At 42.4% G+C, this 11,983-nt stretch overlaps 1 annotated feature.

Annotated features, from left to right (window-relative positions):
- Positions 2,887-2,936: an enhancer, noted in NCBI's record as "active region_8222". NCBI's record gives its function as "activates an Ori minimal core promoter by ATAC-STARR-seq in GM12878 lymphoblastoid cells {active_cell/tissue: GM12878}" and the evidence as "EXISTENCE:reporter gene assay evidence [ECO:0000049][PMID:35858748]".

Consider the following 11,983-nt stretch of genomic DNA (forward strand, 5'->3'; position numbering starts at 1 on the left):
AGGCACTATGGTGCACACCTGTGGTCCCAGCTACTTGGGAGGCTGAAGTGGGAGGATGGCTTGAGCCCAGGAAGTTGAGGTTGCAGTGAGCCATGATCACACACTGCGCTCTAGCCTGGGCAACAGAGCAAGACCCTGTCTCTCTCTCTCTCTCTCCAGAAATACATTATAATATATAATTAAACATATAGAAGTTATTATATATTTATAATTTAATTATAATTTTAAAACAATTTAATTATAATTTAATTCCTATATATTTAATTATAACATATAATTAAATATATATTTATATTTATACATTTAATAGAACTATATATTTATTTATATTTATATATTTAATAGAAATATATATTTATATTTATCTATTTAGTAGAAAAAGAAAGAAAAAGAAAATAAAAAAAAAGATGGGATAAGATGTGCAAGAGATCTCTTTGGGAAATGTCTGAGGTGGGCAGGAAGTCAAAGGGGCCAAAAGAGTCATCAGTTTGAGACATAGTTCTGGCTCCTAGTCAAAGCTGGGCATCAGAGGAGGCCCTCATTTCCGAGGAATGGGCCTGTCTCAGTCTCGGTCATGCTCAGTTTTGAGCTGGAAGCAGCCCTGGGGAGGCAAGGTCTCAGCACAAACACAGCGATGGGTTTCAGAGCAATAGCTGGGGCCGCAGTCGAACTTCTGAAAGGCGCAGTTCCATTGAGATGATCAAGTGGGTTTGTGCATAGTGACATTTAGAGCGATTCTTAGGAAGTTTCCGGGAAAAAAAAAATTCTACTGGGAGGATCTTTCGGCATTTCCTGTTAGAGGCCTTCTCTTCTGACAGCCCTCTAGAAATTTCACACTGTACTCTATTTACTTATCACAGCAATCTGACAATGTCTCACCTTCCAAAGTGCTTGGGGTTTGTGGTCAGCTATGTGTTAACTTTTTGATCAAAGTGGGGGGTTCTAAGTAGAACGACTTTAACAGAAAGTCATTTGGCACTGAATCTGCTGAGTGACTATAGCTTTGAGTGCTTTGACAGCTATGAAACCACTCTATTTTGATTAAGTCCCTTACCCAAATGGCTCAAGTGGTGGGGTCAGAACTGGAAAACAGACCTCCTGACGCCCAACCCAATGCTTCTCTCAGTATTTTTCAATGGTATTTTATTTTCCCCTTAAGTTCTCCTTCATTGTTAGCGATAGTTTGGACCCCTGAAAACTTCACCCTGGCTTGCAAATCCCCTGGGACCTGTGGGACCTGTGGGCATCTAAGAGGGATGTTTTGCTCAACGTGGTGGGAGGACTTCATTCTATGCCATCTCACCTTATCTCTGATGCCTGCATTTACCATTTCCTCCTCATTAAAATCTTCACTCACTTATCCTTTGTCTCCCAGCATCCTCTCTCAGTTCCAGCCACAAACCTTGGCTGTGTTATCCCTGCTGCCTCTGGCTCCCCTCTTTTGACCCAGAGTCCCACTGGGTGGATCAACCAGGAGCTGTCTACACATTGGACATAGCTTGGGGCCTTCCCACCCTTGTGTTAAGGGACCCCACGCAGGAAGGTTGGCACCTGCAGCTTGGCCACGCATCAAGGAGTGAATTACTGATGTCATGGAATAGGCTTTTGAATTCAGCGGACCTAAGATACCTTCCCACCCTCAGAATCTGTAAACTTTTAGAACTCTATTCATAGCAGGAATATACTCTTCTCTGTGGCACTGAACTAAATTAGAGAAAATGCATTGACTGCGGACAGGGAAGGGAGTTTGATTAATTAGGGGCCTAGCTCAGGCATGGCAGCAAACTTTCACTGCTCCTGCTGTTGCTGTACATTAGCATTCAGCTGTTGCCGAGTTTTAAATAGCACCTCTCCCCCAAAGGAAAACTTCAAGGTCCATTCATTTACTAAAGCCTACAAATTTTCCCAGGGGATCAAATGCTAGACTGTCAGCCCTAGGGTCAGGGAGGCTATGCTTACACAGTTCAAGGAGAGCCTAGGGAAGGTTTCTTTTCCCTGCTTTCTGTGCATGCTCCTGGGGAGGGAGTCTTGTGTTTGCTACACTGTCTTTCCTTATTGGGAATGGGGGCAGTGCAGCTTTTGCTGTCTGGATACAACATTTTTACATATAAGACAATGGGGTTTACAATTCTGTTTTCATTTCACTCTTATTAAAAACAAAATGGAGGCACTAAGACATTTTGGTCAAGAAAAATACAAGTCAAGGCTGGGAAGTACAAACAGCAACACGAGGACCCCATGTTTGTAGAGCCTAACACAAGTTACAATGCCTTTCATACTCAGAAACTGATTTCATCTTACATACATCTTGAAGGGTTTACAGGGCAAATGCTGTTATCTCCATTTTATATGAAAAACATTCATTCTTTTAGCAAGCAAGTACTTAGTATCTACTAAAGTTTCCTTCCTAATATTTATTGAGTGCCAGGCATAAGTTACTTGCTATCTAATCTAAAGCCCAGAGTGACCCTGTGAAATAGTTGCTATTGTTAACCCCATTTGGCAGGTGAGAAAATGAAACCACAGAGGAGTGATATGGGATGGCAGAGTTAGGATCTGAGTTTGTGCTGTCTGACTCCAGAACCAGTGCTCTGGACTGTTCTGCGGTACCCACAAGCAGTCTGTTAACCACATGAAGAAATAATGACTCAGGTCGAGTGGATAAATGCTGCGAGGGAAAAGTGCAATGTGCCACAAGAAAATAGAACAAGTGTCCTAACAATCTAGAGATTGAGGAGAGGCTTCTTTAAGAAAATAACAATTAAACTGAGGCCTGAAGAAGGGGTAGGAACAAGACAGGGGAGTGGGGTGAGTGTGGGAAGAGTGTGCTAGAGAAAGAGAACAGCACAGGCAAAGTCTGAGTGATGGAAGGAGACCACACTGTGAAGGACTTGAAAGAAGCTTGTCTGTTTGCTCTCTAGAGATCATGGGGGACAGAGGGAGATGAGGTTAAAGAAATAGGCAAGGTAAGGCTTGATGGTTCATATTAGGAATTGACTCAAAGCACTGGTAATCCACTGGAGGGAAGATTTCAGCCCATGGAGATGCATGTGGCTGCTGTGAGGCGAGAGGATTAAAGGAGGCAAAAGCAGAAGTGGAGAGAGTGGCCAGGAGACCATGACAGGAAGTGGACGCAGAGAAAGGAACAAGTCGGCTGATGTTGAGGAGGTAACGTAAAGTTGACATGACCTGGTGACTGCTGTGAGCTGGGAGGAAGGAAAAGCAGACAACATCCAGATGCGTGGCAAACCCCTCAGTTGACAGTGATGCCATTTCCTCAGAGCAAACACCAGAGAAAAGCCAGGTTGGTGATGTGGTGAATAAATAGAACACAAGTGAAATTTTGAACAAGTTGAATTTCAGATGTCAGGGAAATATGCAGAGAAGCACATGAATCTGGAGCTCACAAGGGAGTTCTGTGCTAAATATACACATCCATGAGTCACTGAGACGAGCCCCAGGGAAGAGTAAAGTTGAGGCCTAGATTATAACCCAGCACACTACCATATTTCAAGGTCCTGTAAAGAAGGGAGACCCACAAAAGAACAAGGAGGAAAAAAGAAAAAAACAGAACTATGGAGTTAACGAAAGGGGTGGAAAAAAAGAGGGACTATGTAACTAATGTGAAGACATCAGGTAAAATGAGGGTTGAAAAGTGATTTAGGTTCTCAAGGGCATGAGTGGTCTTAGCAGGGGCCATTTCAGTGCTGTGGTGGGTAGAGACATTATGTTACAGTGAGTGGAGGAGTGAGGGAGTATAGGGTCAGTGAGTGGCAGAATGAGTGGACAATGAGTGAGCGAAAAGAAAGTGCATGGAAGAGTGAGTGAGTGGAGGAGTGAGTGAGTGGAAGAGTGAGTGGAGGAGTGAGTGGAGAAGTGAGTGAGTGGGGGAGTGAGTGAGTGGGGGAGTGAGTGAGTGGAGGAGTGAGTGAGTGGAAGAGTGAGTGGAGGAGTGAGTGGAGAAGTGAGTGAGTGGGGGAGTGAGTGAGTGGGGGAGTGAGTGAGTGGAGGAGTGAGTGAGTGGAAGAGTGAGTGGAGGAGTGAGTGGAGAAGTGAGTGAGTGGGGGAGTGAGTGAGTGGGGGAGTGAGTGAGTGGAGGAGTGAGTGAGTGGAAGAGTGAGTGGAGGAGTGAGTGAGTGGAGAAGTGAGTGGGGGAGTGAGTGAGCAGAGGAGTGAGTGAGTGGAAGGTGAGTGAGTGGAGGAGTGAGTGGAACGTGAGTGAGTGGAGGAGTGAGTGGAAGGTGAGTGAGTGGAAGGTGAGTGAGTGGAAGGTGAGTGAGTGGAAGGTGAATGAGTGGGGGAGTGAGTGAGTGGAAGGTGAGTGAGTGGAGGAGTGAGTGAGTGGAGGAGTGAGTGGAAGGTGAGTGAATGGAAGGTGAGTGAGTGGAAGGTGAGTGAGTGGAAGGTGAGTGAGTGAGTGAGTGGAAGGTGAGTGAGTGGAGGAATGAGTAAGTGCAGGAGTGAGTGAGTGGAGGAGTGAGTGACTGGAAGGTGAGTGAGTGGAAAGTGAGTGAGTGGAGGAGTGAGTGAGTGGAAGGTGAGTCAGTAGGGGAGTGAGTGAGTGGAAGGTGAGTGAGTGGAAGGTGAGTGAGTGGAGGAGTGAGTAACTGGAGGAGTGAGTGAGCGGAGGAGTGAGTGAATTGAAGATGAGTGAGTGGAAGGTGAGTGAGTGGAAGGTGAGTGAGTGGAGGAGTGAGTGAGTGGAAAATGAGTGAGTGAAAGATTAGTGAGTGAAGGAGTGAGTGATTGGAACATGAGTGAGTGGAGAAGTGAGTGATGAAAGGTGAGTTAGTGGGGGAGTGAGTGAGTGGAAGGTGAGTGAGTGGAAGATGAGTGAGTGGAACGTAAGTGAGTGGAAGATAAGTGAGTGGAAGGTGAGTGAGTGGAACGTGAGTGAGTGGAAGATGAGTGAGTGGAAGGTGAGTGAGTGGAGGAGTGAGTGAGTGGAAAATGAGTGAGTGGAAGATGAGTGAGTGGAGGAGTGAGTGAGTGGAAGATGAGTGAGTGGAGGAGTGAGTGATGGAAGGTGAGTGAGTGGGGGAGTGAGTGAGTGGAAGGTGAGTGAGTGGAAGGTGAGTGAGTGGAGGAATGAGTAACTGGAGGAGTGAGTGAGTGGAGGAGTGAGTGAGTGGAAGATGAGTGAGTGGAAGATGAGTGAGTGGAGGAGTGAGTGAGTGGAAGGTGAATGAGCGAGTGGAGGAGTAAGTGGAAGGTTAGTGAGTGGAAGAAGTGTGTGGAGACAAAGATTGCTGACAAGAACTCATAGTATTTCGCTGTGTTGTGCGGGATCTCCATGCTGAGAAAGATGTAGTGTCCCTGTAGGCTGCATGGTAAGCCACGGTTTCAGGCAGGCGCACAGGTGTGCCCGGTGGAGAGTAGTGGTTTTTCAGCCACCAGTACGGACTGATTCTTCGGTAACAAAACTTGCTCCTGTTGACTCCTATCCTGTGTTAATTTTTAAAAGTTTTCCTAATGACTGCTGAATGAGTAATACTCTGGGTCAGATTTTTTTTTTTTTTTTTTTTTTTTTTTTTTTTTTTGATGGCGTCTGGCTCTGTCACCCAGGCTGGAGTGCAGTGGCGCGATCTCAGCTCACTGCAAGCCCCTCCTCCCAGGTTCACTTCATTCTCCTGCCTCAGCCTCCCAAGTAGCTGGGACTACAGGCGCCCGCCACCACGCCCGGCTAATTTTTTGTATTTTTAGTAGAGACGGGCTTTCACTGTGTTAGCCAGGATGGTCTGGATCTCCTGACCTCGTGATCCGCCCGTGTCGGCCTCGCAAAGTGTTGGGATTACAGGAGTGAACCACCGCACCCGGCCCTATTCTGGGTCAAATTTTACAATTTTTCTTCTGGTTGGACCTGTCTGTCTTATACATAACTGATGGTTTTGGCTCCCTATAATAATGTAGAATTCATGTCTATATTTCCGTTTCAGGCCTTTTGGTCCATAAGAAAATCTGTTGTTTTAGATAAGCGAAGTGAAGACTATGCTGAGGTTATGTGCGTGCATTTAATTAATGTGTAGCATCTCGTTTTGTGGCACTTAGGAAAAAGCCGCATGAAGAGGAGGGTATTTTAGGAAATCTAAGACTGAGCACTGGTTTGTCCATGGCCTGTGGCTTTGACAAAGCCCTCTTCCACCTTTGGGGTCACGTGCAAATCAAAGTGAGAAGTAGGCAGCATTTTTGTGTGCTCAGCCACAAACCCTAGGAGTCCTGATGGACATTTCATCGTGATGCACAATGGAGGCATCTTGATGAGTGTCAGGAGGACAGATTGTAATGCTACATTCATACGAGGCACTCCTTTGCCAATTATTCCCATCCAAGAGTCATTCATTTTTTATATTAGAATGATATTAAATTATAACAAGAATGAAAGGTGAACTAAGAAATCTTACTGCCCACATAAATCTTCCCTTCTGGTACCATCATTCTTCAAAAGGAAGAAGGCATATTCTCCCATATTTGTAGAGGTCCTGCTTCTGAGGGTCCTAGGGACCCTGTAGATGTCTGGAGGACACAGCAAAAAAAAAAAAAAAGCTTTCTAATTGTGTGTGTGTGTGTGTGTGTATCGTTTGGAGCCAGTGTGTAAATTGAGATCACAAAATTCCTGAAGAAGTTCAAGGTAGTGTTTCTAGAATGTTGCAACACTCCATATGAAAGGAAAAAGTCAACTGTTTACTTGGACTTAAAGGGTGTGTCTGCAAAAACGTTACCTGGATTTACTAGATATTTTGCCATTGAGTAAATGTAACCTGGTCTAAATTTCATCCTAACTTGGCACCCATAGATTGCTCTGACATCCAGCTGTTATTATATCCTGGCTAATGGTAAAGTGGGTCATTGTTTCTAATTTTTCAGTAGACTCATGTCTCAGGTTGTTTTGAGCACTTCCTTCTATATGGTAAATCATTAGTTGCAGTTCCCAGAACTCTGCTTCCTCTTTCTATCTTCTTCATGTGGTAGCAATAACAGTATAGAATAAAGCTAAATAGCACATTCATCTATGAAATGCAATCACATTCAAATGAAACTCACTTGTTTGAGGCTTTTGAGCCTGCAAAGTAACTACCTATTTGATGAACCAAAAAGGAAGACAAGCCATTTGACTTAAGAGAAAAGACCAGGGGGTTTCAGGGTCTTTGTCACAAAGCTATTGCTTCTTGAATGGCATTGTCCCAGGCCTGGAAAGCAACTGACTTCTGAGACAAGTGCAGTTTGCCTCAAGCCTCACTGCATTGTGCCATTAGATAGAACCTGAGTGAGACCCAAAGATGATAAAACTGTGCAGCCTACCTGACTTCTTGAAATTCCTTTGTTGAAAGAATCCTTAATTTTGAAATTTCTCCAAGACATTTAATTTGCTCAATTTCTTAATAAATCTTCCTGTAATTTCTCAGTGGGCCATGCAGGCAATATTTACTTTATTTGAATAATGACTAACAATATAGATAAGGAAGCTTCTCTTTAAAGTGTATCAATTGATGAATGACTTGGGCAAGATTCACTTTACGGCTCTTGGCTGTATTATTAGTCATTTTATAATAATGAGTTTTTGTCACTTGAAAATTCAACTTTCTTTGTGAAAACCCAGTTATAGTCACATGTGTTTGGTGCTGTTAGCTAGGGAGAATGTGACCATACTCACCCTGTGACAATTCAATGACTTTGGCTTTGAAGGAAAAATTTACTAAGCTTTTTGATAGTACACCCTTGAAGAGCACTGCCCAATAATATGGAGAATCACAAAGCTGGACAGGCCCTTAGATCTCTTCCAGCCAAAGCCCCTGATTTACAGAAAAGTAAACTGAGGCACAGAGCCGACCACAGGGTTACCTGTATTGTTAGGCTGCCCACCCTAGATCAATACAAGTTTCCCATGTGCTTCTGCTTTTAGGAAATACATGGGGTTTTGTCCCAAATTTACCCTCTAGTTGGGGAGGTAAAAGTGGCACATGTAAACGTTTAAAGATAGCACACAGCAAGATATCAAGTATAATCAGATGTAGCCCGTACTCAATGCAACAGGCTGCATTTTATAGCCATGCTGCATATTAGGACCAGTCCGTAGTTCAGGTTGGAAAACAAAGCAAGTTTTGAGGCAGAGCAGAGCAGAGAGAACCATCATTCTGTGGTATAACATAATCTGGGCCATCTGCCGCTTTAGTCTGGGTTACATGTGGCAAAACTGTCGAGTGCATCAGCCAGAGGGACTCCAGGATGCAGATAACCCAGCTTAGAACCACTCTGACAAGAAGATCAGGAAAGCCTGAAGCTCTTGCCCCACGGGACTTTCTTCCATCTCATTCTGGCAGTGTCTCCTAAACAGGAGGCCCATATAGTACAGGAGCTAATAGCACAGGTTCTAGAGCCAGATGGACCTGGATAGGTCCCAGCCCTGCTAGTATGTCATTGTGTGACTTTGAGCACATTATTTTACTCAAGTTTCATTTCCTCATCTGTAAAATGAGGATATAATTAATGCCTGCCTCACTAATTCTGTGAAGATCAATTGAGATAATGCATGGAAGTAAAACATCCAGCAATTTCTGACATAGAACAATGCTTATTGCAAAGATCTATTATTAATATACTCAAATAAACTATGCTATTAGCAATGAGAGAGTGTGTGTGGGGGTGCTGTGTGTGTGTATATGTTTCCATATACCATTTTCTGGCTGTTTTAGCCATCAAGGAGAGATTTGAATTATGGAATCCAATTGGTTGTACAAGGAATAGCCATATAATGGCTGGAAACAACAAATGATGTTAAGGTGGAATCCTAAGGAACAGCTCATTTGTAAGTGGTCCTGTGAATTGTTAGAAGTTTATCAATCGGCTTCTTTTTTACAGGCACAAAGGAAGACTACATTTCCCAGGCTGCCTCACAGTCAGGTTCAGGCCATTTGACTGCATTATAACCAATAAGATGTGAGAAGAATTCATGTGCACCACTTCCATGTTGAATGTAAACCCACTTGATGATTCTCTACTCTTGCCACTCTTTCTTCTCTTTTCCATGGTCACATGTTCCAGATGGAGTAACTACCACATGGAATGAGCACATATCCCTTAGTTATTGCTGGTAGCAGAGCCAAGGAGTGCAGTTACCCACAGTTTATAAAATATTGCATGAGCAAGAAAGAATGTTTTACTCTGTTAAGTCTCTGATTGGAGATACTATAATAATATTAGAATAATAATTTGGAAATTATTATGGAAACTAGTGCTAATTATCCTAATGCCTAATTATGCAAACTGGTTGACTAGAACTATTCAAATGCAAAGAAAATGAAGATAACAAAAATGTCCATATTGAAATAATTCAAAGACCAAGTTTAATAACACTCAATCATATTAATAAAACATACAAGCCATTTTTAACATCATCCCAAAAATTATGTTATTGGGTTGAGTTTACTTTTGATTATGCAGTTAACCAAATAGTTTTTTTTTTTTATAATATCCCAAAAGGCAACATTCTGACTTAGGACTGAAAACAGGGTATATGTTTAGTTGTTGCCTGAAAATGCCCTTCACTACATGCTGCTGAGTGAAAAACAGGAGCATGTTTCAAAAAAGTATAGATTGACTTCATTGAAGAAAAAAACAATTACAGTGTCTACAGTGATGTTTCTCATGGCAGTGGGGTTATAAATAGTCAAGTAATTTTTCCCATGTACTTTATTATATTTTCTAAATCTTCCACAAAAGCACATATGACTTGTAAACATGGAGATAGTAAAATGCTGTCTTTAAAGTATGCTTTAAATATTATTTCAAGTTCTTTATTCTTTTACAGATAAATAATCCCTGAAATTACTAAAATAGAACAACAACAACAACAAAATAGGCTATTCATATAGATTTTGATAGCAAAATCTTGCTTTACAAAGATTTGTATCTTTGAGCTTATGGGCTTGAGCAAGTCAAGTCACATCATTAGTTGCAGGTTGTGGGAGGAAGGGCCACAGCTCAGCTAGCAATACCAAGGTGATTTTCAAAAGGAAGGTTTTAAGCTGAAATAGCAGAAAGACCAGAACATTGGCCTGAAATATCTGTGCTTGCTTTGGAAAAATATCGGTAAGAAAAATTCACCGTAAGAAAGACATTTCTGGTGAAGTTTCTTTAAGAGTCTTCTAGTGGCCTAAGTTTTTAAGTTTTTTAACTGCTTTATTGAGGTATAATTGTTATATGAAAAAAACTTTCCCATATTTAATGTATACAATTTAATGTTAGGCCATAAGCATACACCTGTGAAACCATCACAATAATCAAGGTGGTAAATATATCTATCACCCCCAAAGATTTCCTGTTGCCCGCTCCTTCTTTGTGCAGGTAAGAACACAACATGAGATAGACCCTCTCAAATGCACAATACAATACAGTATCATTAACTATAGAAACTATATTGCACAGCAGATCTCAGGAAGTTATTCATCTTGAATAACTGAAAGTTTATACCTACACAACAACAACTTCCTATCTATCCCTGCCCGAGACCTTCCCCCAATCACCATTCTCTGCCTCTGTGAGTTTGACTATTTTAGATACCTCACATGAGTGAAATCAGGCAGTATTGCCCTTCACATACAGTCCTCCAGATTCATCTATGTTGTCACATATGGGAGGATTTCCCTTTTTCCAATGCTGAATAATATTCCATTGAATGTATATACTGCATTTTCTTCAATCCATTCATCCATCAATACAATTTAGATTGTTTCCATATCTAGAATATTGTGATAATGCTGCAATGAACATGGAGTGCAGATATCTCTTTGAGATTCTGATTTAAATTTTTTGGATCTATAACCTGAAGTGGGGTTGATGGGTTATATGGCAGTTCTATTTTTAATTTTTTGGGGAACCTCCATACTGTCTTTCATTGCGGCTGCACCATTTTACATTCCCACTAACAGTGTACAAGGGTTTAAATTTCTCCGTATATTCAGCAATTTATCTTTTGACTTTTTGATAACAGCCACCCTAACAGGTATACAATGTGCATCATACACCGTGACCTAGTGGGATTTATCCCTAGGATGCAAGAATGGTTCAACATGTGGAATTCAATGAATGTGAATTCTGTGTCCCTTCTGTGACATCTCATCACCTCCTATGTGACTAGGTCTTGGTGGGAGAACCAAGATCTCTCTTGCCAAACTTCCTTGTCTTAGAACTTGCAGATATCCATTGTTGCCCAGTCATGCCCCAGCGCAGCATAAGCCTGCCATGCGTGCTGATGGCTAGGAACTGGGGTGGTCAGAGACAACTGAAGAGATGGGCTTTTCTCCAGTTGGACCGAATTCTGGACAGTGACACTAGTTTCTTCTCCGTAATAGCTTGACCCTTTTGCCTTGGCTTAAGTTTGGTTTTCTCTCATCCCACTTATATCCAACTGAAGCTCAGTCTTCACAAAACTTCCTGAGAAAGTGTCTGAACTCCAACACACAGTTGCAGAACCTTCACTGAGCATTTGCTAAGTGCTAGCATCGAGTTAGGCCTGATGACCCACTCAGACTTTGTCGTAACATCTGTATAGTACCACTGCATGTCACTCACATTGGAGAAAACTCAAGCTCAAATGGCTGCCTAAGTGTTCTCTCTTAGATTAATTTTAAGGATGCCAAAGTCAATCTGGTAGATAGACTGGAGATGGGCATCGTTTCCCTCACTGACTTGATTTGTTATTTAAATTATTAGGGTGATAGTGGAGGCATAGAAGTGGGGTTCTGATGGAAAAACCTCCAGCTCGCTTGTACATTGCGGTTCCCTCTGTCACAGGTACTTGGAGCCAACGCAGGCACAGCAAATGAAGCAGGTCTCTGTTTGACATCCAGAAGACATAAGCTTTATTTTTTCTCACTTCAGGGTGAGAGGAGAGGAAAAGAATATTTCTCAAAAGTTTTTTCCTCTATGGACATCTGCACATAACATGACTTTGCTGAGGTGCCTGGCTGCAGGTGCAGTATGTGGT

Source organism: Homo sapiens, chromosome 14 (genome assembly GCF_000001405.40).
Source record: "Homo sapiens chromosome 14, GRCh38.p14 Primary Assembly".
NCBI classification, from domain to species: Eukaryota; Metazoa; Chordata; class Mammalia; order Primates; family Hominidae; genus Homo; species Homo sapiens.